We start from the raw sequence: 27,016 nt of genomic DNA on the forward strand, positions 1-27,016 counted from the left end.
GGCCTCTAGGATGGGTCCACACATTCTGCATTTTGTAACTGTTTCCCTGTGGATATTGATGCTATCTGACCTGCTGTGTGGTCCACTCTTTGAGGATCAAGGCTGTGCTCCCATATTAGACTCACATGGAAATACTTTGAGGACATCTCCAGCAAGAATCCTATAATGTTTTATATTCAAAAATATATTTTAAATATTTTTGAATATATCTACCTCCTCATTTTCTATTAACAAAATATTATATGTTCATTCAACTTGATTCCTTTACTCCTTCATGCTCATTATTTAATCTTTGTCTATAATTAAGGATATAAAATGCTATAAAAGTTTTATGCTGAATATTCTTCAATAATTCTGTCTTTTTTTTTTTTTTTTTGAGACAGAGTTTCTCTCTTGTCGCTCAGGCTGGAGTGCATTGGGGTGATCTCAGCTCACTGCAACATCTGCCTCCCAGGTTCAAGCGATTCTCCTGCCTCAGCCTCCTGAGTAGCTGGGATTACAGGTGCCCACTACCACGCCCAACTAATTTTTGTATTTTCAGTGGAGACAGGGTTTCACCATGTTGGCCAGGCTGTTCTTGAACTCCTGACCTCAAATTATCCACCCACCTCAACCTCCCAAAGTGTTGGGATTACAGGCGTGAGCTACTGCGCCTGGCCTCTTCAATAATTCTTTGTTGGATAATTTACTTTTATTCTATTCTTAGGGAGTCCAAGGTTCCGGAAACCTGCTTGAACTTAAATCAGGCCAACACATCCCCATACTACAAACATAACAGAAAAGTGAGCCCTGGGTATTTCAACTCTGACTGTGGAAATATGCCCTTTAATTTTAATTGTCTGTATAATATTTATTCTTTCCCTTATTCTTACAATAGAATCCTGAATTTTCTATGGGACCCAATATATCCAGCTGAGAGACATTTCCCAGTCTCCCTTGTAGCCAGGATGGGTCATGGGACACATTTTTGGCCAACAAGATATAATTGAAAATCTGCTGGGTATTTTTTGGGAATGTTTTGCTTTCTCTAAATTGGTACATCACCTTCCTGATTGTCAATTCTCCTTGCCTACATTTCTTCTTCTTGTTTTTGTCTTTAGCTTCTTTTCCTGTTTCTCTTTCTTCTCCTTCTCCTTTTCCTTTTGTGTCTTACCTGGAAAGTAGGTAAGAGCTGAAGATGGAGCAGCCACACTTCAATCTGGAGTTACCATGGGAGGAAAGCCATTTGTTAGTGATGGCAGAACAGAAAGAAAAAGACCACGAGCTATCCCTGACATGTTTACCTTTGATATTCTTTCCTCTGGACTTCTGATTTTGTGAAACTTATAACCCTTTTATTAGTTTAGTCTCTGTGGTTGGGTTTATATTACACGCAGTCAAACATAACACCTAACTGATATGTTTAACTTAATTTCTGCACTTGAATGACTCCTCACTCACTTCCTTAGCTTCCTTTTTCAATGACATCCTTTCGTTTGCCTCTTGAACTTCCGGACAGACTTATCTTTTCTGTTTTTGACCCTTGGCGCTCTTTTGGGCTTGACTCACATTCACTGTCTTATGCTTTCCCTTCCATTTACCTCCGCTATGTGCCAGTTTTCTTAGTGGACCACCTCCTTTCCTTTGTATGAGTGCACCCTTTTCTGAAGGCTGATGCCTCACTGTGTGTGTCCTGAGATGTTCTCAAGGTTTTGACTTTGGTTTCATGAAAACACACACACACACGCACACATACACACACACGCATGTACGCATACATGCACACAGAGGTATATATTCAGTTTCCAAATCAAATTTTAGTTATAAATGGGACATTTTAGATCACCTGTGGATAATTGGTGTAGGGGTGGTAAAGACAACACTTTGCATAAAAGAAAACATGGTGAACATCTGAAAGTTGCCTTGAGCTCCTTTAGTGAAAACTATGAAAAATGCTACACTTTGATCTTACCAGTTGAATACTTTAACAATCAACATAGCCATCTTCTACCTAAAAAATAAGAAAATGAACAAACAAAAACCCTATGTGTGAATATGCTTTTGTGGCCTGTGAGCTGCCCTCACCGAGACGTTTTGGAGGAAGATATGATGGTTTTGGTTCTGGAGAAGCTGACAGACATAATTTTGACACATACAGTGGTACCTTCTGCCCCGAGCTGCTCCGTGACAATCATTTTAGGATGAATACTTCAGGACGCTATTTTTACTGAAACCTCGTTGTAAGGCAAAAAAACAGTTATAATCAAAGACTTAAGAAATGATGGTGACTGGACAATTTTAACTTTATATTTTCACATGACGAACTTAGTTACAGAGAGCTTATATGACATGCTCAGGATCCTACAGCTAGCAGTAACCTTAATTAGACAATTCTGGTCTTAAGATTTCTATCCATTTCAGGAAATGCTTATCAGTATGTAAACGAGTAAGAGTGATCATTACAGGTATTAGTTCAAATTTACTACCGCTGATCAAAGTATATAAGTAATCTGTAAACGTTAGAATCTTATTGGTGGGTAAGTCTACCCTATGGGAGCACTATAGAGATAGAGAAAGAGAGTTGGCAATGCTAAATCCAGCAAAGAAAAGTCTCAGGCTTGGCAATCACTATCAGACTGTCCCAAGGTATTGGCCATTGCAGGACAAGGAGAACGGCTACAAGGCATGATGGGCAAACTCAAATGCCTGCAGGTGCAGTATGCAAGTAAAGTGGGCCAGAAGTAAATTCCTTGATGTCCCCATTATGTAGGTGGGGTGTGTGAGCACGCCTGGGCATGTGCTGGGGCCCTACACAAGCTGGGGAGCACCTGATCCTTTGGTAAGAGGCAGCTGTTACTTAGCTACAGAATAAACTTGCCTTTTGGGTCTAATATTGCCTCATGACCTACTTTTTCAGGAGACACTACAAATCAATAGTTTTCTATGAAAGACCCTGATTTTTCATTGTTGGTTCAAAATGTTAAAAGTTCTGTGCAGCCATCTGAAGCATGAAGTCATGCCTATACACCAAATTTGACTTGTGGACTGCAGCTTAGAAAACAGGGGTGCTTGGAAGGAGTGGGGCATGACAAAGGGGGACGTAAAGAGAAATCAGACAATGGTAAAGAAGCTTGAAAATTTTATTTAATTGTATCTTTGATACATTGAAAGCTGAGTATTTTTAAGACAAAGGTTTCAGGAAGAAAGTTCTCTTTCCAATTTCACCACTGTGGCTACCAGTTCTTCTATTCTCCTATTATTATAATGCAGATATGTCAGATCGGAATAATTTACATTTACAAATTATATCATAGAAAAATAATTTTATCGCTAAATGTAAACAGGTTGGGGTACTTCATCCAAAATAAGAAGAAAATAACAGAATCTAGCACTTTCATATTTTAAAGCTGATATTTTAGCAATATTTTGATAAAACTTTATTCCATTTGTAATTTTTGGCTACACAACACTAAAAGAAAATTTATTTATTGGCATGCAAAGCAATGTGGCCTCAGAATACACCTCTTAAATTTACAGGACTTAACATTTCAAACATCCCACGTGGCTAGCAGGTGATGTTGTGAAGATGATCTTGAATAGTGATATAGTTATTTCCTAGAGATTAAAAAAAGAAAATGATTTAACATAATTATAATAAGATGATATCATTAACTTATCCAGAAAATATTTCAATGATTTATTTTGATAAAAGTTGTTTATTAATCCCTTTGTCCATAAATCCCTCCATCCTTTGGACTCTTAAAATATTTTCATTTAAAGATTATTTATCCTAAAGTCTGCTCATCAATGCTATCAAACAATTATGAATAATTATTAAAAAATCAAAATTCATCAAGATAAGTATTTTTCGGTGTCCAGTTCTCACTACTCTTCTTATTAAATTAAGTATGTAATATTGTATATGCTGCATTTCACCTTTGTGCTGAAATTTCAACATAGCAATTTTTAATGTGACAATATGTGAATGATGTAACATTTCCCATGTTTCATTTCTATCTGTGTTTCTAGCTTCTTGACTCTAATAGACACTCAGTAAATGTTTCTGGAATAAATGAATAAATAGATACAAACTGTAATGATACAAAACAAACATAATGATGTACTCTTATATGACTTAAACATGCATAATTATTTCCTATATAATAAGAGATTATAGACTTTCCCCCTACATGGGGAACAGCTTGCAGCAGTATGACAATCAGTACTTATGAGAATTTGATGGTTTTCAGAATTAACTAAAAAGCAGTCACCTGTCAGTGATTTTGGTCTGAATCAACCAGTTTATAAAGTCCCTGGCGGCAAGATTATCAAGAATGGTGTTCATCTCATCAGAGAAAGAACCATCAGCATGTCTGCGGCCAAGTTCTTCAACAATGGCGACCTCTTCTGGGAAACTAAGAAAATAAGTGTTAAAATTAGCGTTTGATTAGATATTTTCAATAAATGATCACAGATTGTCTACCACTGGTAACATGCACAAGTGTCTTGAGGAAACAGTAAAGGATTCTGTTTTTAAAGGGTGTACTGTGAAATACCTGATAAAAACCCATGTGGACCAGTGACTACTGGAAAGAGAAAGTAGCAGAGCTGGGATCTAATACCAAGCCTGCATAATTTCATGCCCTTTTCAATCTTCTAGGCTGTTTTGAAGATTTTAGTATATTGACAATACAGAAACTATTGTTGAGATTATTAGTCTGTAATTCAACTAAATATATCATATCCTATAAAACCAGAGCTTGCAGGAACAGCCTTGCAAAATGCAGTATTAAGAGGTTAAAGCTTCATCTATATTAGATTTTTCTCTTTCACTGGTTTACTATTGCAGAATTTTTGGTATCCCTTTAAAACACTGCAAAATATCGTCAAGAGTGAGAAACTATTTTACCATTGGTTTTATAAGTTTAATTATTAATGTTTTAAAAACCAACCATTATTCTAGTTCTCTTTCATCTTGAGATCTCTTTAAATTTCAGTAAGCTTGTTTTAAATCTAATTTAAAAATCAGAGTTGAACATAAATTCTCCGTCTCTCATATTTCATCTCTCCAAAAAAAATCGGAAGAAAATGAGATGGTTCAGGGGTCTGTTTGGCTGTGTTAAGATCTAAGCAAGTAATTGATGGTCTTGGTTGTTTTTCAACTTAGATTATTTAGTAGATATCTATATGACAGCCCCATACAAAATTGGATATGTAGTTAAATATATGGATGTTTTTACCTATTTGTACTTTGAATATCATTTTATCAACATCTTAGGTTTGGTCACTTTCAGTCTTCATCACATTTTTATCTGAATATTTATTAATATATAAATATATGTTGATCACATATGTAAATGTTTAAAGTTAAGCTTTAAATATTATATGTTTTCTTTACATATTTGAAGTTTTCAGCACTGTTTCTTCTTTTTCCTTATCTCTAGCTCCCCTAGAACAGTCCTAGTTTAAATTTGTCTCAGCGTAGTTATTAAAAACATCCTATTTACTCTCAGAGGTGGCCTGGTTTGGCCAAAGATTTAATACCTAATTATAATGCAACTATAAGGGGATACAAATGTAACCTGTTTGGCTCTATTATTAATACTTAGTACCAAAAACAAAATGGGTTTAACTTTTATATACTGTTTTTCATCAATAGGAATTATTTCCTTACTTTGCAAGACTACTAATTGCTTCTGTAATCCAGATCCATATATAGATAACTGTAGTCTTAAATTTTCTGCATCAAGGCAAAAAATGTCAAATAAGAATGTACAGACTTACTCTCGCCTTCCTCGGCCTTTCACCAGCCAAGCAATGAATTCCTTGGCAGCTTGGCCTTCCAAATAAGAACTTACATCACTGGTAAAGGTCCCTTCAGCATGTCTCTCAAATTCATCGTGACGTTTGGCAATGTTATTCCTGAAAGAAATGTGAAAGTTAAATTGAAGATCTGTCTCTTTGGCAATATGGTTCTCACCTATAAGCAGTGGCAACTTTGGGTTCAGGATTCTATGTAGAAGGGGCTTAGGGAGTTTAGGAGATGAGGGTTGCTAGGGGATTTGTCGTGAAGCTACATTAATGTTCTGGATTGAAACTGGTGGAAGAGAGCTAATAACAATCGGTGGGCTAAAGCTCCCCCTCCCTTCCCAGCATACCCATCTGCAATCCCCTGCTTATGTATGTCATTGGTTATTAAAGCTGCCTTACCTTTGACTTCAGTCTCAATGGATACAGGCTATCCACTGCACTATGTGACTTGCAAGCAAGGCAGCTGTTTGTTATTAGTAAGTATGGGGTCAGAGTTAGTTAATTGATTTGAGGGAAAGCAAAGGACCATCTTGAATTGTTACCAAAAGGACCACTTGATAATGGATTAAAGAAAATGTGTGATCTGCTAGTAACAAGGAAAGCAAAGAAGATGACCCCATATCAACATCAAGTGTGTGCAGAGCACCGTGGAGGTGAGCCATCAGCTGCTGTCAGTCTCCCTGGCACATATTACCCCATATCACCTCATTTTAAACACATAGGCAACACTGCTTGAGTGTGAGGATTGCTTTACATCCATTTACCAAGTTGTGGCATTCCCATTCTAGAAAATGAGGACAGTTGTTTGCATTTTTATAAATTTGTGATTTCTCACCTTTCACTGTAGTCCTTAAGAGGGACCTCTCCCAGTGTCTGCTCTGACCATGATAGCCATCTTCCTGTGGCTGTACCCTCTACTTTAAGAACCTTTGATTAGCAACTCTGTTTCTCCTATTCCTCCTGCTTGCTTGTTCTCTCTCTCTCTCTCTCTCTCTCTCTCTCTCTCTCCTTTCTTACTCTCACTCTCTCTCTTCTCCAGTCTATCCAGACAAATCTATGTCCTTTTCCTGATTTTTTGATTTCTTCAGCTACTTTCTATGCATAACTCCCTTCCTCTTGTGGGCCACCCTCCAAAAAAATTGTGAAATTCCACCATCTCTGTGAAACCCTTGCGGATAATTTCCTCCAGTAGCCTAGATGCAGCAAAAAACCCAACACTCGTCAAAGAAAATCCAACATTAAAATGTATGCCTTACGATAGGCTTGTGTTCTTATTTGCTGCCTTCTCTCTCTATGCTGTGCAGCTAGGCTGTAATTTTAAATGCATGTCTTGGATTTTATTCTACAAGAAAAGGAATGCATCTGTTTCCATTCCTTACCCTTGGCTGGGGGATAATTTTAATGTTGGGTTTGAACCCCACGAAAGAATGTTATATTTGCTCTATCTTTTGGTAGAAATTAGATTGGTAACCTCGTAGGTCCACAAAAGTAAACTTTCACTTTAAGGGAAAATGAGTAAGCAAGTAAATATTGCTAGGACTACCACTGGGAAAATAATTTAAAGGCTATGTCACACTGGAGGTTGGGTAAGTGGTTTAGAGGGGTGCGGGTTAAGACATTCGGGGGCATAATACTAAGGAGAGCATCCCCAACCCTAAACATCTTCAAAATGATCAGGGCTTATGGGCACTATTTGACGAGCATAAGAACTTAATAATGTCAAGAGAAATTTTAGACCTATTTAATACATTTATAAGCAAGTTTTGAGCCAGGCTTAGACTCTTACCTGTTCCTCTTGGTATTCATCAACCACTGCACAAAATCTTGGGCACGCCTGGAGTCCAGATACTTGCTGTAGTCACTGGTGAATGTGCCCTGTGAATGGCGCTTGTCCTCGTTCATCTGATCAGGATCACTGAGTGGGTCTGCCTGGGAAGCTGAGAATGATCTGTGAAGAACAGTGATTGGTACAACATAAATCTCTCCTCAAGAGTAGACTCACTTGAGAAGCATCTTCACTACAAAATACAAGACCATATAAAACAGTAAGGCAGGCATCTAGAGTATTTCAATAGGTAGTTTAGAAAGATCTTCCTTAGCTTGTCATGAGAATCCCTTCGTTTTAGTATAGTTGCATACGCTATTATTCTGAATTCTAGAAACATGTTTCTCAACTGACTTCTTTTTTTCTGAAATAGGATTAAACAAATCTTTTTCTACTAATTAATCTACTCATGATTATGCTAATAGTGACAGAAGAGAGTAGTGACTTGAATATTTTAAAAGAGTGAAGAATCCCAAATCATTTCTTTGGGCAGCAGATTTAAGCTCCCAATTTTGTTTTGCATATATTAATATGAAAACAGCACAATTATCTAGTTATATGGTGGCTAGCAGTGGAAGGAAGACAACTAGAAGTTCAAAGAAAGGCAAGAAAAAGGATACTTGCTAATTTGAAACTGTATCAGGAATAATCCCTATGCCACTAATCAACAGTTGGTTGGCATGGTAAATACATGGGAAAATAGTCAATGTAATTAATACTCAGAAATGAGATACTATTTTTACCTATGAAATTAGCAAAGCTTGAATGCTGAGGAGGATATTATGAGGAGTATTTCTATACTGCTGATGAGAGTGTGCATGTGTATGAACTTTCTGGAAAGCAAGTTGGCAAGATATTAAAAAAGGTTTAAACTCATTCAGGCCCTTTGACACAGTATTTCTACAACTAGAAACCTATGTGCAAAAAAATAGTAAGAAATGTAGGAAAGTGTGTATATAAAATGTTGTTTGCAACATTCTTTGTGGAATAAATTTTAAGACCTCTTAAGCTTCCCAAATAAGTAGCTAAACAAATATTGTACATTTATGAGATGAAACAGTATGCTGCCATTAAATATCATGTTTAACAAATATTTTTAATAATATAATAAAAGTGTATAATAATACAATGTTAAGATATTAAGCATGATACAAAGCCATATAATGAGCCAAGAGATATTTATGTACAGTTTACGTAAAACACAGGAAAGTAATACACCAAATTTGTTTACTTTGAATAGCTTTCTTTGGACAGAGGAATTTTGAGTACTTAATATTTTTTGCATATTTTTCATACTTTCCATCATGAACATGTATGGCTTTTACATTTAGGAAGAAATAATGCTATTTTTTAAAGGAGGAAAAAAGAGAAAAGAGTTGGTGCGAATAATTGAAGTAATCTATTATGCAGTGTGTGAGTAATGAATTGATAGATAGGATCATCTGTAGATTTCAAGGAGCTATAATTTCCCCTGTAACATGTTTTTCAACATTTCTCTCCCCTTTTATTATAAAAAACACAAACTCTGATCTACACTCCAACAAAGTCTGCTTTTATCACAAGGATACTTTAAACATTTGATCATTGTGCAGAATATTTATTCTAAATTACTGAGACCTTATTCACTAATCATAGTTTTCACAGGCTTTATTCCAACCATATTGATATGTTAGTTCGAGACTACGGATTTAATACCTGGATTTCTCCTCTGTGTCTTGAAGGGAACGTTGCCAGCTGCCTTGTACCAGCATTACAAATAATCCAGCCACAAAGTAAATGCTTTTCATTTCTGCTGTCTGTCAGAACACAGAATGGGGGTAGGGTGAGGGGGGCAGGCAAGGATTTTTAAACATGTCAGGCTAAATTAATTAGATTTGACTAGATAAATATCATAAGTAGAAGGAAAAAGCTAGTGTTATCACTTTTATTCTGATTATATTTTCAGCTTAATTTTAAATAGTGGGTTATATTATTTCCCCAGATTTTTTGGAGGCAAAAAAGGACACAAAAGATGTGTTCCACCATTAAGCTTTTTCATTAATGTAGGGACACTTCTGTTTAATAATTAGAAGGCTCATTTCCAGACTGGAAATTAAAATGTCCACAATCAACATTTAAAATACCCACTGTAGATGATATGCTACATATGGTTAGCCTGAATGGCACCTTATCCATCATGCCACCCCCCTCACTATCAGTCTGGCTTTCAATTAATAGTCCTTCACTTCCAAGCATTTACATTATACTGCATTTCAACCATCTTAAAGCAGCCTCAGGCTACAACTTGGCATACCAGCTGTCGGTTCAGATGTATTATTCATTTATATTTTAAATAGTGTAACTTGGTCTAGACTTTGTAATTATAAAGCGGCCAACAGATTTGAGGTATTTTAGGGTGCTTTGACCTGTTCTAAATTAAAGGGAAAAAATCATTTTAAAGACAAGCAATTTGCAACAAGAACTAATGCTTCTGGCAACGTGAACAATCACAACTAAAAAACTAAGAGATTACTATGTAAAAAAAAATTAGAGCTTGCTTCTAAAGTCATAAAAGTCCCCAGGTTGTTTTCTAATTGGACTTAGATGAGGACATGTCATTCACTGCTGGTGACACCATAGACTTGGTTATAGGATACACCTGATTGCTTGTCCCTGTGTCACAAGCAGATGCCCTGCGAAGCCATAGTATGTTAAGGATGTGATGATGCAGTGTCGACGGGGACTGGGACCAACATGAATGTGGGACAGAATGTCCCCACAGAGCAAGCGCTTCTATTTTCTGAATGGGAACGTCAAGTCCGTCTTTGTCATGGATCTCGGCTACTTTGAAACCCAATGGTGTTTCCTTTGAGAAGCGGGCATTTCAATCCAAGTTTGACTATGCTTATCCACAAATAATTTGAATGAATATTTTTAGCAAATGACATTTGGTTTGGAATAAGGATTTCACAAATATTATCATTTTTAAACTATCAATCTTTTCCTTAATATATTAGCTGTATTTACTATCTCTGGCACTAAAACATAGACACTGTAATACCTGCAGCAGTAACTTTTTTCTTTGAAATATTAAGTTTTTTGTACATTGAATGGATGATTAGACAAAGGAACATAATAGGAATGATATATTCACCTTTCTTCATTCATCAACATCAAATTACCAATTTGACATTTTGCTATGCTTCAGTTTAACCGGTTGGCAGACTTTGGAAACCTTGCCATATATTTAGGTAGTATCTACTGATTATAACTCTCAATTGTTATATCCGTGCTTGCAGGAATATTTAAATATTAAAGTAAGCACTTCTTTTAAAAATTATACCACTGTTGAAAAGTTTCTTGTAAAAGCTTTTAGTCTTTCACAAGACTGAAAAAAAAATTCATTCCACCCAAAGTCCTAAGCGTTTTGCAATATCTCCTATTATGTTCCATTGAGGAGGATTTAGAGCAGGAGGTATCCTGCCACTTCAGGAGCTGATGGAAGAAAGAACAACCATAAACCACATAAAGAAGTGAGCGTTCCGTATCTAATAATATTACCAACAATAAATGACTTCTTCTGAAGAAAGAACTGGCTTTAAAAATCTCACTTATTTGTTTGTGAAAGTCTATCGAATTGTGAAAAAAAAAAGAATAGAGTTAATTGTTTGAATACAATTGCTGAGAAAGTAGAGATTTATGTTATTTTAGTATTAAAATCTTATTCAATAAGAAAATAATTTCCAGTTAATTTCCCCCCTCTTTAGGTAGTCTAAAGAGAGCCTGCAGTTTTGTAAGAACTACAAATTTCCACTAAAATTTAAAGGAAAGTATGGTAACAATAATAAGTAGGAAGTCTTACAGAAAGATTAACCTTAGACCTAAAAAAGAAGACATTATGTTCTATCCCCAAATGTGTTGGCATTGTAGTCCATATAAATCCTTTTTCAAACTGGTTAGCTCATTTTATGTAATAGGTCTTCAGTATGTATGGAAAAATACACCACTTAATCATTTACTCCATCAAAGATCTTTGTAAATTTGTTTTTTGTCTCTAGGAGCCTAATCTAAAAAGACAAATTAAAATTTTATTGCAGAGGGTAGCTATTTTAGATTTTATTACTATTTATCCTCAATACATAGTAAATAGTTATTAATGTATGGCTTCACTCAGATGCATCCAAAGAAAACCCCCCAAATAGATGACACTTGTTCTCTGCACCAAGTACGCTATGTTTTATTTACAAAGAGTTGCTTTAATGGACTTTGATTTTTTGATAGATGTCTGAAATTTGAATATTTGAAAGATGTTATTTAATTTGCTCTTTTGGAAAACCAGAGATTTTAATTGGTAAAAAGCAATTTCTGTTATAGGCTCCCTAATGGACACATTTCTGCTTACTTTAAAAGACGCCTTCTGTTCAAAGTAGTATACAGATCTATCAAGTCCAAGAAAAATATTTATTCTTCAAAATGTTACCAATTATTTTAAAATACAACTCTCATAACAGTTAAGTATTATAACAAGTGCATTGATTTGAATCTTTGTTTTTTTTCTGTTTTATATTTTTGCATATAATTATTTTTCCAACTCGCTTTGCGGCTTCGCTATATTAAAGTACACGTAAATGCATTTGATATAACCTTTTCCATCTCAGTTCCTCTCTGTGTACTATTAGTAATAAAGTCTAAGATGAAAGAACAACATTTTAATTTATAATATTTTGATCCCTTAAAAATACTTCACTGTCCGCCAAACAGGATTTACAATTTTATAATCATCTTACCTTCTGGTAGTGTGCTGTAGAACAGAGCAGGTGAAGAGAGAGCAAGCCCTCTTTGGGAACTTTTGATGTGCTCTGTGTCCTAAGCTCTGTACTTCTGCACCAAGGCGCACTGCTTTTATATACTCTCCAGCTCTGTTTAGCCTCACAGATATTACGCTGACAATATAAATTTCTCATCTGTAAATAATGAGTTTTTGTTACAAATGACTTCCCTCTCCCACTCACTTTGCTCATCTGCATTCTATGCTTATATTGGGTGAGAGACCTTAGAGACCTGGAAACTTTTTATGCACTCTTGTATCTTTTTTTTTTTTTTTTGGTTGGGAATGGAGAGAGCAGCTTGGAAATCCACCTTCTACTTTCAATCACGCATGAAAATCACTTAAGTTCTCTAAAGTGAATTTTGACGTTGAAGACAAAAGACCTTGAAATTACGTAGCCCATGGCCATCCCTGTTTTGTGCATGTCCTCATTTGAGGTTCTTACAAGTCTTTGGTTTGCTACCTAGCCATGATGAATTTACCTGAATATAACAATCACTTCAGTCATTCATTTATCTAAATAATGATCATTCATTCAACACATATGTATTAAAAATCCTCTCTTCCTCACAACGTGGAGTTTATTTATGTTATGTTTGTGGAAAATTTAAGGATATTGATTAAACCCCTATGTGTTCTGTTTTAATAAATGGAATTCAGGCAGAAAGGATGGAGCAAAATGAAGATTAAACATCCAAGATAGCTGATGCTAACAGGAAATTATCTGGTATTTTTTTCCTTCTAATATATATTTAAAATCTAATTTTACTGATAAGAGAGTGGGGTACTAAGTTACAAAAGAATGAGATATGAGGAAAACTGTTGAGATGAGATGCATATTTTCACGTTTCCTGAGTTTTGTGACTGGACACACAGGCTTTAATGATCTGTGACATTTAGCAGAAATGATTCTGGTCACTGTAGAGAAATAGAAAAATGGTAAATAATCTGGAAAGACAGCATAAGAAGTAGTGTTGGCATAATTTGATTTTAGTTTTGCTGTTATTGACCAGCTGTGTGACCTTGGTCAAGTCACGCATTCTCTTTGTGTCTCTGCCTCCTTATTTGTAAAATGAGAGGGGTTGGTAAATGTCTTTTCTAAAATAAAAATTTTATTCCATATTGCAAACTCATCACAACATTTCCTAACTAGATTCCAATATTCTAATATAACCAACCGCATGATGTCACTGATGACTTGTATGGAGGTAAATCATTGAGGCAACTGGAGAAATATTCCAAATGAACTTAACTGTTCAATTTGTGCATGAGACCAACGTTTGAATGTAGAGCTACTTGAAGGCCACAGAGATCACTTTCAAGTCAGACTGGAAGACATCATTGAGGGGTTTTTGTGCTGGTGATTATTGGGTGCTAGAAAGCCTTGCTTTGCAAAGTGTGGTCTAAGGACCAGCATCATCTGGGAGCTTGCTAGAAATGCAGAATCTCGTGCCTATCAGAATCTGTATTTTAACAAAATCCTAAGGAAATCTGTGTTCATATTAAAATTTGAGAAGCACAGCTGCATAAAATATCTGCCTCACTTTATCTCCTCATTGGTACTGCTGGTGTCTTGATCTGAGACCTGCTTCTTGGCACTCTACCAGCAGAGGGGGTGAAAGAGCAGAGAAAGGTGTCAAGCCTTAGGTCGGTCTAGAGAGTAATACTTATAAATACGGTAATAGCTTGAAAGAGTGGATTGATTTAATGTATGATTACATTGTCTTTCTCTCTGGCTACAATCTTCACACAACTATTCGCTATATTTTTAATCGTTTTGGCAGATTCAGTTCTACTTTTCCCATTGTCTATTTGTCTATTTGAGCAGATGTTTCTTTCTGTCTCTCTGTCTCTGTCTCTCTCTTTCCTTTTCAGACTCTACTTGTTTGTGGAGCAGCCCTAAGAAGGAAGATCTGCAGATCATATATATAAAATCTTCAACATAGCACTGGCCTTTCAGTAATTATCCTCTCCCAATATTTAACTACCAAACATTTTTCTTTCCCTCCACTCTACTTGCTTCCATTATTCTAGAAGTGACTATCCCAAGTTGTTTCAGAAAATTTCCTGTGACTTTATCTCCAGCCCACTGACACTGATTCTTGGGGCTCCCAGTACCATAAGGGTAAGCATTCTCAGGATGTATAAGCAATAAGAACCCCACTGCATTGTGTGCTGCTCTCCTCTCTAGGAGGGGCAAGTCAGGCTTCTTCATGGACACCGAATTGTCAGAAATTAAGACAGAACTCAAGTGCAATTTGGACTTGCAGATCTTCTTCCTATCACTGTTCTGGCATGAGCCTCTACTTGGCCTATTCCCATCAATACAGTTATTCAGTGATTTAGATGTGAGGCAAGGAAAGTGGTAGCCCTGTATGTCTATGACTAGTGACATATATGATTTCTTTATGATGTTTAGTCCTAAGGACAATTTCCACAGATTTACAACCTGTGCAGCTGCATGAAGCTGCATGCAGGACCTCATGCTTGCCTTAATGCTTTTACCACCTCAAAATTCTTAAAAATTTACACAAAACCATGCATTGTGGGGTTATTGTGTGTTTATTTTCTGTAGCTGCTCGGAATACTTAGGAATAGTTGAGAATGGCAAAGATCCAGGTTCACAGTGCGCTGCGATGGGAAGTCTATGGGTAGGGAGAACTCTCAGGCGTTGCTGATGGGAGTACAAAATATTAACTCCTTTGAAAGGTGGTTTGGTAATACTTATCGAAGTGACTAATACCTATAGTTCTTGGTCCAGTAAGGCTAAAGCACTATTCTGAACATTTATCCCACATATATTGCTATGTAGATATGTAATGATGTAGGTACAAGGTTGAGTAGAAGAGTAACAGGTGGGAACTAATCCAAGGGGCCAGCAATAGAGCACTGTTTAGAAAAAAAAAAAAAATGAAGACGCTGTCTATTTACCAGTAGGGAAAGACTCCAAGTTATGTTGTTAGTTGAAAACAAGAAAGTGCAGAATGGGTATGTAGTAGGCTACCTTTTGTTTTAGAAGGGAGAGGGGCAGAAATACGTGTTTATTTTTCATAATTGCGTCAAAAAATTAAAATAGACAAGAAGCTGATGAAAGTGCTTACCTGTAGGAGGCAGTGTGGATAAGTGGGGTGCATGTGGACAGGGACAGGATGCAAAGAATACTTCTTTTATATACCTGCTATGTGGTTTGGATTGTTTGACCATTTGATAGAATTACCCATTCAAAACAAACCAAAAAATGTAATTTAAAAAGGAGTGACAGTACAACTACTTTGGAAAAAGGTAAAACTTTAGAGCTAAATGTACAATTACCCTTTGACCTAGCAATCCACTCCTGGGTATTTTATCCAAGAGAAATAAAAACATATATCCACAAAATGACTTGTAAAAAAGTGTTCAGATAAGCTTTATTTACAATACTTAAAAACTAACTGAAGTATCCATCAACAAGAGAAAGAAAACAATTTGTGATACGGAATTCATACAGCAACAAAAATTAAGCAACAGCTGACTCAGGCAGCAATGTGGAAAAATTTTGCAGACATTATGCTGCATAAAAGAAGATGGACATGAACAACTATATACTGTATGAATCCATTTATAGAAGTTCAAAAACAGGCAAAATTGAAGTTAAAAATCTCAGAACTGTGGTTGTTTCTTGGAAGAGGATGGGAGAGGATTGCCTAAGAGGGAACTTTCTGGGGAGATGGAAATATTCTATATTATGATAAGGGTATGTGTTACCAGGTTTATCCGATTATCAAAATAGTACAGCTAAGATTCGTGATTTTTAATTTATGTAAATTTTACCTAAAAGGAAAAAAAAGAATAGTTACAAAAAAAAAAAAGAAGTCTGAGGTGTGGGTGGAGGTACAGATGACACAACCATGGCAAAATACTGATAATTGTTGAAGCTGGCTGATGGATAAACAGGGTTCATTGTGCAATTCTGCTTACTTTATTTATGTTTGAAATTTCCCATATTAAAAAGTTAAAGCCATAATAGAATGATCGTGGGGATTGGTCATTAGGACTAATTGGTCATTTATCACTTTGGAAGCCAAAGAGTTAGACTTTTCAGTGAGTAAGGATTAGCTAAGTAAAATAAGTGAACTTCATAGACACATGGTGGCAACAGAGCCTGGATGGAAAACAGTAGCCTAGGCCGGGCCAAGGTAACGGAAAAACAACTGCAATGAAGGCAGAGAGAGGAAGCTACCACTCAGAGGTAATGGAATCAAAATCACTGCTCCCTTCTTCTCAATGTTATTCAATACCCATCCCTAGGATTTGCCTAGCTCTGTTTGATAAAACTGCAGTAGTGACCAGTCAAGCTTTCCTGATATGCTTGAGGTTTGTTTTTTATTCTTGGACAGTATTTAATACTCTAACCTAGGAAGAGCACAGCGTATTAAGATACCATCCAAGGGTCCATAACAAGGGTCTTCTGAAAATAGGTGTGAACCTTCAAAAGATCAAAGAAAAATTATGTATAGCATTTGAGGAAAAAGTTTTTATTGATTAGTTTTAACTCTGAAGAGCCACTTAACGAGAGCATTTGAAAAGTTAAAAATTGAATACATACAATGTAATAATCAGATGTCCTTCACATCTCTGTGAGTGACTTAATGGGCTCAGGGATCCAGCGGTAATAAAAGAAGAACTTCCAGGGGAAGTTCTGAGTTTGCCAGAGGATGTGAGAAATACCCTTCCTGAGAGATATTTAAAAATCAGTTCATGACCCATCAATCTGGAAGGATTCTGAGGAAGCCTGCTGGGGTTGGGGGGAAGATTCAGTAATAAGATCAACGGACAGTCTTCCTGCCCTGAGGCTCCGAGACCCTGCAGACAGCCCGCTCACAAGTCTGTGCAGGGGACTGTGTGGCATCATGGCTTTGCATTCGTTGATTTTATCTTTTGCAAGATCCCTGGTATAATGAGATGTTTAAAACTGTTCTAAGTTTCAGTTGTTATTTTTATTCCTAAAGGGAACAAGAAAGAGAAAGAAAACAAAATCATATTTGTACAAAAGAATCTTATCTCATAATTTACAAGCAGAATATATATTTATATGTATAAATACATATATATCATTGAATACATGTGTTATGCTACTATTTTTCGCATATTGTAGCTATAAAAAACAAACCATATGTCATTACATTTATCCAACCTCTTGCTCATCTGGAAAGACTTTTTTTCTTCAAGCTTCTAAGAGTCTTTAATGTGAACCAATTAAAACATTGCAATTTTTTAAAGTCTTCTGTAAAAGGAAGTAACTTCAGCCATTAGAAAATTTAAAATTTGGAGTCTGTATACTAAGAAAATGCAGAGAATGCAAACCTGAGTTATAAATACTTTTTCTTGTTCATTATACCTTGTAGTAAGACTTACCCCCTGCCTGAAACTTACTCAGTATTGCCAATTTGTATTTTATCAGATGTATTATCAAGATATGCCCAGTGTTCTGGTGAAATTGAAATGATATAACCATAGAAGGGAGGATAATTCATAAAGCCATCTAGGCTATTACCCTATTTTAAAGCAGAGATTTATTTAATGTATTACAATTCATTGTTTGGCTATTTTATTTTTCAAACCTGGAGAATAAATTTCTACATTTCCATTTTGCAATAAATGACCAAAATAATTTATTTCTGCGGTCAGAAACATTTCTATGGCCAGAAGTATTTCATATCTGCGTTCTAGTCCTGGCTCTTACTGAAAGGTAAATCATTTCTTTGTTGCCATGTTGTCAGAAGATGTAAAAACTGACTTTTCACTTCCATCTTAATAAAAATTCTTTTCTCCTCATAAAGCACCGTCGACTAACCATAAGTCTTTTCTAAGGCTGAAGAATGATAGAGTCTCCCTTTTTTTCTTATATGTCTAGTCCATGATTGCCAGCATTCTCCTCCATAAATACTTATCAGCAAAACTCTAGAGGTCGAAGATCATGGCTTTTACACCTTTGTTTGCTTATTTATTTATTTATTTATTTATTTATTTATTTTTGAGACGGAGTCTTGTTCTGTCGCCCAGGCTGGAGTGCAGTGGCGTGATCTCGGCTCACTGCAAGCTCCGCCTCCCGAGTTCGCGCCATTCTCCTGCCTCAGCCTCCCGAGTAGCTGGGACTACAGGCGCCAGCCACCAAGCCAGGCTAAATTTTTTGTATTTTTAGTAGAGGCGGGGTTTCATCGTGTTAGCAAGGATTGTCTCGATCTCCTGACCTCATCATCTGCCCGCCTCGGCCTCCCAGTTTGTTTGCATTCTTTCCCCACAAATAATGGGCAAAACTCATAGCGGAAAAAAGGGTGATGCAAATAATATCTTAAAAATGTATTTGATTTATTAAGCATCAATTTGCCTCTAATGTTTTTATGGACACTTGTTCTAATAAATGTATTGTTGAAGACAGTTGACATTGATGAAAAGAATCAAATAAAAATTATAAATTCAGAGACACATTTGACCAAACACCCAGGGTAAAGTGTAATAGTCATTCCTTCCATTGGTTAGCACATAGCTTCAACTACTGATTAGTTCGTTACTTTTTTGATATCTCACCTGGAATTCATATACAGATTTAATTGTAGGCAAAGATTTAAAAATCATAATATGAGAGCCAGTATTTTTTACAATTCAGAAATGAGGATCAAGCCGCCTAAGAATAGAAGTAACTACCATTTCCTGAATATGTACTAAAGGCAAAGCTGAGTATATTATTCTCTAATACTCAAAATACATAACGAGTTCAATATTTTTGCCTTCATTTTACAAATAACAAGACAGGGGCTTAGAACAGGCAACCAAGTTGCTTAAAGCCATATCTGGGTCCGAATACAGGACCCCACTACTTTGTAACCTTTCTAGAGTAAGGCTTTGCAAAGTAGTCCTGGGAGGACTTGCAAAATCTCCTCAAATCAGCTTTGACTGCTGTCTAAATCTATTCAGAACTTCCAGATAGCTAAGATAGCAAGACATCTAAATGCTAAACAGTTGATGATGGAAGTATTTTTGGGCTTAGTTTTTAAAAAATGTATGATTCAGTAGTTTTTAGTATGTTCAGAATGCTGTGTCACCATTACCGTTATCTAATTTCAGAACTTTTTCATCACCCATAATAGAAACCCCATACTCATCAGCAGTCACTCCCCCTTGCCCTCTTTCCGAGCTCTTGACTACTGATCTACTTTCTCTGTATACACATTTGCCTGTTCTGTGTATTTTATATAAATGGAATCACTCAACATATAATCTTTTTTGTCTAATGTCTTTTATTTAGCATAATCTTCTCAAGGTTCATCCACGTTGTAGAAGGAATCAGTACTTCATTCTTTTTACGGTTGAAATGATTCCATTGTATGCTATTTACCACATCTAGTTTACCCATCTATCAGTAATGGACATCTGGGTGGTTTCCACTTTGGGGCCATTATGAATAATGCTGCTGGGAACATTCATGCACAAATTTTTGTCTGGACTATGTTTTTAATTCTCTTGGGTAAATACCTAGGAGTAGAATCGCTGGCTTATATGCTAACTCTATGTTTAACTTTTTGAGGAACTGCCAACTGCTTTCCAAAGCGACAGTGGAGATTCTGTTTTTTAAGAATCAGATCCACGAATTTTGGATATGTCACACGATTGACTTTTTCTTCCTTTTCAACAGCTACAGATTTCAATGAGGACAATAAAGGAGCATAAGATCGAGAGGTCAGTGGTGGGGCAGGTCTTGGCAAGGAGGAGAGACTATGCTTTTTGTTTCCTCTAGACTGAATTGGAGCGTCAATGAAGAGGCAAGATGAGGCTGGATGTTGGAAAAAGTCTCCTTGGAAGAGCTGCTCTGCTGAGTGCAGTTAAGCAGAAAACTGAAAGATGAAAATGTAGGGGTCAGAAAAGGGATTTTCTTATATGACAGGTTTAAGTGTTTTGAGTGCTCATGGGGTGTAAGATGTAGATCTGGAATAAGTGGCGGGGGTGGGGTAAATCCTATGGTTTCCTCTGTGCTTTGTACAGAGACATAGTGGTGTGAGTGGCAACTGGGTAAAATAAGTGTAACTTCAATTTTAATTTTTTTCTTTCATTGAGAATAAAAATATTCCTCTTATTGGCAACAACAATGGATCAAAATAGATTTTTCTAAAGCACCTAAGAGCCTAATATCCTGGACTAGTATATTCTCTTATATCAGATATATCAGTAGGAATATCATATTATTCCTACGATCTAGGGATAATGCAATAATTATTATGGATTATTTATTCTGAAAATTATTACCAATAAAATTTTTAAAAGCATTTTTTAAAAAATTATTGAGGTGACATTTACATAATAAAATAAATCCTTTTAAAGTGAACAATTAAGTGACATTTAGTACATTTATGTGTGCAACCACCACCTCTATTAGGTACCAAAACAATTCCATAATTTCAAAATAAAAACCCATATTCAGTAAGAAGTTTCTCCTCACATCTCTCTCCCCACACCCAGTGGCAACCACTACTTTGAACTCTGTCTCTATGGATTTACGTGTTCTGAACATGTCACGTAAATTGAATCATACGGTAGGTTTTTGGGTCAATGCATTAGAGATTCATCCATGTGGTAGTACATGTCAGTACGTCATTACTTTCATGGTGCAATAATATTCTGCTGTATGTATATACTACAATTTGTTCATCCATTCACCCATTGACGGACATTTGGGCTATTTCCGCTCTTTGACTATGGTGAATAATACTGCTGTGAACATGTTTGTACATGCATTTGTTTGAGTACTTCTTTTCAATTCTTTTAAGTATATATATATATATATATATATATATATATATATATATATATATGTAGGAGTGGAACTGCTGAGTTATATGGTAATTCTATGTTTAACTTTTTAAGGAGCTGCTAAAGTGTTTCCCACAGTGGCTGAAGCATTTTACATTCCCACCTGCGATGCACAAGAGTTCCAGTTTCTCCACATTCTTGCCAATATTTATTTTTTGTTTTTTTCTGGAATTGTTATAGCCATTTTTGTTGGCATAAAGTTGTACCTCATTGTGGTTTTGATTGGTATTATCCTCATGACCAAGGATGCTGAGCATCTTTTCATGTGCTTGTTGGACATTTGTATGTTTTCTTTGGAGAGATGTCTCTTCAAATCCTTTGCCCATTTTGAAATTGTGCTGTCTGTTTTCTTATTGTTGAATTGTATGTGTTTTTAATATATTCTGGATACAGAACCCTACGAATAAGTTTATATTTGTATATATGTAAATATGTATGTATTTTAATGATAAATTATGTAATTTAATGATAAATTTTAATGATAAAAATTATTCATTTCAATAAATTATAAATTTTAATAATTACACTCATAGTTTCCATGACTTTACTTTCTTTCTGGAAAATATGACACAAGGATGATTTGAATATTGAGTTGCTATTTATAAAGTTTATTATAAAATTTTAATACTTTGATAGTGATAGATTCCTAATTTTTGTTAAGAGAAAAACACATGCAGAAGGCTCTAAGTGTACATCAAGAAACTGATAGTAGGATTTCCTCTAGCAGGTTTCACTGAGCACGGCTTCTTCATCAAAGAAGATTATGTCAACAATATTTTATGACTCCTGATACTGTAACTTGAAAAAGTAAATAGTGAAAGTACTCCGGATATGTTGGAAGTTCTTTTGCAACCTGGAGGTACGTGTGTGACTCTCTGAAACCATAAATTGATAGCCAGTAACTAAAAATGTGGGGGGGGGAGACATAAAAGGCTTTGTTTTTGTTTTTGTTTTTTAAGACAGAGTCTCGCTCTGTGGCCCAGGCTGGAGTGCAATGGCGTGATCTCAGCTTACTACAACCTCCACCTCCCAGGTTCAAGTGATTCTCCTGCCTCAGTCTCCCGAGTAGCTGGGATTACAGGCATGCGCCACCATGCCCGGCTAGTTTTTGTTGTTTTTTTTTTTAGTGGAGATGGGGTTTCACCATGTTGGCCAGGCTGGTCTTGAACTCCTGATCTCAAGTGATCCACCTGCCTTAGCTTCCCAAAGTGCTGGGATTACAGGCATGAGCCACTGTGCCTGGCCATAAAAGACATTTTACCGGTAATCTTCTAAATTGTAATTTTTTGTTCTTCTAAAGACTTAGTCTAGAGGAATAAAGCCTCAGGTTTACACACTCGTTGTTCCTTATTTCTGGAGCCTCTGCTTTGGCAGCCTGGGTGCAGCTGGCATGACACACTCAATGCCAATTTGGGGACCATCCCTATGTGATATCTTGCAAGTGTCCCCCACCACCCTGCCCCATCTGTAGTTCCACGGTCATGGTGTGGAAGCTGGCAGGAGAGCAAGTGTGGGAAGACACAGTGCAGGGGTGACATTGGTGAGAAGACATCAAGAAGCAGCAGCAACAAGTGGAGGAGAGTCCATGGGAAGACTGGAAAGCCAACGCCATTTAGAGTTCAGTCATGAACTGGATTTCCATATTGATTGGCTTGTCTGGACATACACACAATTTTGCTGGGGCCAGAAACAAGATGTAGACCCTGTAGAAGTTATTAAGTTACAGAGGGAGGCACAAAACTTCAGCTTCAAAAGCAACCTTCAAATGTTTGTTTAGCAGTCACTTAATGGTGACTTCATTATGTGTACTTGAATTCTAATAATGGCTTATAAGGGCCTGCTATTAGGGTTGTGTTTACTTATACTCCATTATATATTCATTATTTGATTAGTGACATTAATAGGTAACAAACCTATCTGAAAAGGCATTCCACATATTTCTTCTAGAATACCTGAGAAGAGTCACTGCCACTGTGGTACAGAAACTGTATGCCAATTCAGTTGGCATGCAGGGAGTAATTGAATTGACCTGGATATATGGAATCTTGGGTGAGTACTATAACTTAAACCTCATTTTCCTAGTCAGAAATACATATATTTTAATTTCTAATTTACAGAGTTTCAAAAATTAAATGGAAGAATATATACGGAGCACCTGGTATACAATTCACATCCAAAAGAAAGCAATCAAATTATTCCTTAAAATAGAAATTGATACACACAGCCCAAATCTGGCATCCAGATGAGTTTCCTTTACTCATAAATTAGTGGTCAAGGGTTCAAAATTAAGAGGGAATTTCCATTTAAAAATCCAGTTTTCCGGTTTCTCTTGACAAAAATCACAATGTCTGGCAACACCATATTTCCAGTGGCAGCAGTTTGAGCCAGTAGTTGTTATCCCTTTAGTGCAGTCACCAGCTCATTAGAGTCCCAGCCTTATTTTACCAGGAATCTCCTTGACCCGTTTCTTGGTTTGCTTCATTCGTTCTGATCACCTGCCTGGACTCAGTGGTTCTTGAGATTGGGAACTCTACTCTAAGACTCCTGTTACATTTATCCAATGCAAGATCTTCAGCTATAAATTTAACTCATATAAAATACGTTTTATGAAATAAGATGTTGGATGGTGATGGTGATGGCAATCCCTTTGAAAATGTTATTTCCGGGCATGGTGACTCACTCCTGTAATTCCAGCACTTTGGAGGCCGAGGCAGGTGAATCACTTGAGGTCAAGATTCGAGACCAGCCTGTGCAACATGGTGAAACCCTGTCTCTACTAAAAATACAAAAATTAGCTGGGCGTCGTGGTGGGCACCTGCAATCCCAGCTACTTGGGAGGCTGAGGCAGGAGAATCGATTGAACCTGGGAGGTGGAGGTTGCAGTGAGCCGAGATCATGCCATTGCACTCCAGCCTGGGTGATGACAGCAAAACTCTGTCTCAATAAAATAAAATAAAATAAAATAAAATACAATACAATACAATACAATAAAATAAAATAAAATAAACTTTTATCATATGACCATCAAACAAGGTGCCATGATGGGTCCCTGCCCTCACTTTTACTGCCTAAATAGTTAGAGACAACACTTCAACCTCAGTGTTTCTAAGGGATCTATGGTTGCCATCCAACCAAATATTTCCCACACCAACCCCATAAATCTGGCCTCAAAAGAGATCCATGAGACCTCCATATTGAGAGAAACCACTGTAATCCCAGCAGATGTTGAGATCCAGGGGAGAAAATAGTAAATGAAAACACAGGATTGACTCCTATTATTTAACCTACAGGCCTCCAATTGTGGAAGATGATTTAAGGATCAGGAATTGCGTTGCACTATGCCCTAAAGGGACACAGAAGAATTCTTAGGGCTTGCAAATGTGATTTGAAAGCCAAGGATCTAGCCTAGTACCTGTGGCATGCAGGGAGTAATTGAATCTCAGGAAGAGAAGGTGCTTGCCCGAATTACAAGAATTAGAACTCAGTTCTCTTGAATCTGTTTGGCAACTTTGCAGGTGCACAGGACTACATTCAGTTGCATCAATGGGATACTAGGAAGTTCAGTTCACCCATGTTGAATGATCAACTAAAAAATATGATCTAAAATGCACAGCCTTGACAAGAGATATTTCACTGATTTATTTTTCATGAGTCCAAGTTTACAATACAATCTGAATTTAAAAGAACCAACCAAACCAACCAACCAAACTTTCAGGGTTTGAACATATAATCTGATCAGGAGACAGAAACAGAATAAGCATGGGTATCCTTGTTTTATAATGTAAAAGAAACCACTACTACTTGAAACATACTTATTAAGCAAAATGTATTTTTAAAAACTAGTGTTGTTTTTAAAATAAAAGCTGCTAGAGTAATCAATCACATTCCAGATATTTATTTGTCATTTTCCAGCCTGAACATTTGTGCCAAACTTCCTCAGCCTGCAGTGTCCCGGTGGTGATTCATCTAGAGGCAGCAAGTATCTAAGTTAGGACAGTGAAGTAGGCTGTGTTTCCATTTCCTAATCCAAATTATTTTTGTTTCAAAGACAAACTTCTTTTAGATCTCTGGCTAAAATTCTTGTCCTCCCTAACCTTATTCTCCTGACCGGGACACCTGCTGCTCAGGGATTTTTCTTTCTCTTTGCTTTGAGGAGGACAACAGCAAGTTCCTATTATATACTAAGTTTCAGAAAGGGCATGATCTGTACCCACTGCCAGATTACACATCAGGATTCCAGTTTCATGGGCTCTCTCATCCACAGAATGTGAGGATACATTCAGCAAATATTGATTGAGGTCCTCCTACATTATTCTAGGTACTGTCTAGATCCTGGAGGCAGAGAGGTGAAAAAAAATAGACAAGCTCTCTGCTCAGAGGGAGCTTGTACTTGAATGGGAGAAATAGGGAACAACCAACACAAACGTAAATCAAAGAATTTCTGATGCTTCTAAGTGCTATCAAGGAAACAAGATTAAATAATGTGGTTGGAAGTCTCTGGCTGTGGCAGAAGCAATGTGAAATCCAATGATCAGGGAAATTCCCTCTGAGGCAATGACACCTGAGCTGAAACCAAATGAGGAGACAGCCAAGTGAAAAGCTGAGAAAAGATGTTCCAGACCCTGGCACAGAAATAAGTTTGGCCTACACAAAATCCACAGATGAGACCAGGGTGGCTGTAGTTTGATAGGTGATGAGAGAGCGGTGGAGACAGGGCCAGAGAGGACGGCCACTGTGGTGCTTTGCAGGCTTCACAGGAAGGTGGGTAAATTTACTGCCCATGTCCTTCAACTACACATTGCCCTGGCAGTTTGTCTTTCTCAAAGGTGTTTCAATCACTGCTATCAAATATTAGACTCCTTAGACAGGTGTTGAGTGAGACACAAGGATGAACAACTCATTTAAGATAAGTACCAAGGAAGATGAACTTCCTTGGACATGCACGACTTCAATATTGGTTATTCCTAAAAGGCCACCTTGTTTTAGAAATAAAGACTCATGTATAAATGATCGAGGACACTTATACTACATTCCATGATATGGGAAAGAAACTATTGGCTTCCGACTGAGGCTATTAATTTCTTGAGAATTAGTTTATTGAAAAAACCATTAAAAAGTAGTTCATTTTATGCATCTAACAAACAGCTACAAAAGACTGTGTCAGACACTGCTCTACAAGTGATAACTACTTTAAAACAACAATCAATTCCATGGGGTAAGAACTGTTATTATCTCAATTTCACATATAAGGAAACTGAAACAGAGATAACTTATGAAAATTTATCAAAGTTGCATAGCTTATATATTACTGAACTGGGATTCAAACCAGATAGTTTCACTTTAACCTCCATTCCTTTACCCACTACAGTGCTGCCCCTAAAATGAGCTGTAGTGAACATGTTCTGTTTACAAGATTGACAAGTGAGCTATGTTGTATTTCATTTGAAAGAAAGAAATTTATAACATTGCAAAGTATTGCTTTAATCTTCTGAAAGAAATTAGAGAGCAGCATTGTTTCCTGTGTATGTACAAAGCATTTTATATATTAAAGCATCTTCACTTTTTAATGATCATTTCTCAAATTTGGAAATATAGTGTAGTATCAGTGGCGTATAAGGAAATTTTATCACATATCTAAAATGTTCTGTTGTTTTCATAGATATCTAAAAGGATGTTTCAATAACAAGCTTAATTTTGCAAATGGGTAGTAGTTTTTTTAACATACAAATCGCTTCTTAATATTCTACTGT

The 27,016-nt window shown here is 36.5% G+C and overlaps 1 protein-coding gene and 1 long non-coding RNA gene across 2 annotated transcripts in view, besides 10 other annotated features; one reads left to right on the top strand and one right to left on the bottom strand.

The window, feature by feature from the left end:
• LOC101929532 (uncharacterized) overlaps nt 1-27,016 on the top strand; it is a 58,299-nt gene that overhangs the window by 25,336 nt on the left and 5,947 nt on the right. Inside the window, exons 2-3 of the long non-coding RNA NR_110255.1 lie at nt 21,994-22,125; nt 23,214-23,315. This is a non-coding gene — a long non-coding RNA (uncharacterized LOC101929532). The remainder of the gene's footprint in view (nt 1-21,993; nt 22,126-23,213; nt 23,316-27,016) is intronic.
• GCG (glucagon) lies at nt 3,106-12,471 on the bottom strand. Its single transcript, NM_002054.5, has 6 exons — nt 12,382-12,471; nt 9,311-9,411; nt 7,577-7,738; nt 5,764-5,901; nt 4,251-4,394; nt 3,106-3,594 (listed from the first exon to the last, which is right to left on the bottom strand). Exons 2-6 carry the CDS (start codon nt 9,400-9,402, stop codon nt 3,588-3,590), a joined length of 543 nt encoding a protein of 180 aa, NP_002045.1. The 5' UTR covers nt 9,403-9,411; nt 12,382-12,471; the 3' UTR covers nt 3,106-3,587.
• Nucleotides 12,359-14,080: a promoter, noted in NCBI's record as "1.6 kb fragment". NCBI's record gives its function as "drives expression in stomach, intestine, brain, and mouse intestinal cell line" and the evidence as "EXISTENCE:reporter gene assay evidence [ECO:0000049][PMID:10516149]" and "EXISTENCE:transgenic organism evidence [ECO:0001131][PMID:10516149]".
• Nucleotides 12,509-12,537: a protein binding site, noted in NCBI's record as "FOXA site A". NCBI's record gives its function as "positive regulation of transcription" and the evidence as "EXISTENCE:protein binding evidence [ECO:0000024][PMID:15828872]".
• Nucleotides 12,541-12,577: a protein binding site, noted in NCBI's record as "G1(H); Pax6 site". NCBI's record gives the evidence for it as "EXISTENCE:protein binding evidence [ECO:0000024][PMID:15828872]".
• Nucleotides 12,542-12,579: a conserved region, noted in NCBI's record as "conserved region; G1". NCBI's record gives the evidence for it as "COORDINATES:sequence alignment evidence [ECO:0000200][PMID:3062372]".
• Nucleotides 12,648-12,684: a protein binding site, noted in NCBI's record as "G2(H); NFAT1B site". NCBI's record gives the evidence for it as "EXISTENCE:protein binding evidence [ECO:0000024][PMID:15828872]".
• Nucleotides 12,657-12,679: a conserved region, noted in NCBI's record as "conserved region; G2". NCBI's record gives the evidence for it as "COORDINATES:sequence alignment evidence [ECO:0000200][PMID:3062372]".
• Nucleotides 12,729-12,767: a protein binding site, noted in NCBI's record as "G3(H); Prep/Pbx site". NCBI's record gives the evidence for it as "EXISTENCE:protein binding evidence [ECO:0000024][PMID:15828872]".
• Nucleotides 12,729-12,768: a protein binding site, noted in NCBI's record as "G3(H); Pax6 site". NCBI's record gives the evidence for it as "EXISTENCE:protein binding evidence [ECO:0000024][PMID:15828872]".
• Nucleotides 12,732-12,764: a conserved region, noted in NCBI's record as "conserved region; G3". NCBI's record gives the evidence for it as "COORDINATES:sequence alignment evidence [ECO:0000200][PMID:3062372]".
• Nucleotides 12,775-12,801: a protein binding site, noted in NCBI's record as "CRE(H); CREB-327 site". NCBI's record gives the evidence for it as "EXISTENCE:protein binding evidence [ECO:0000024][PMID:15828872]".

Source organism: Homo sapiens, chromosome 2 (genome assembly GCF_000001405.40).
Source record: "Homo sapiens chromosome 2, GRCh38.p14 Primary Assembly".
Taxonomy (NCBI): domain Eukaryota; kingdom Metazoa; phylum Chordata; class Mammalia; order Primates; family Hominidae; genus Homo; species Homo sapiens.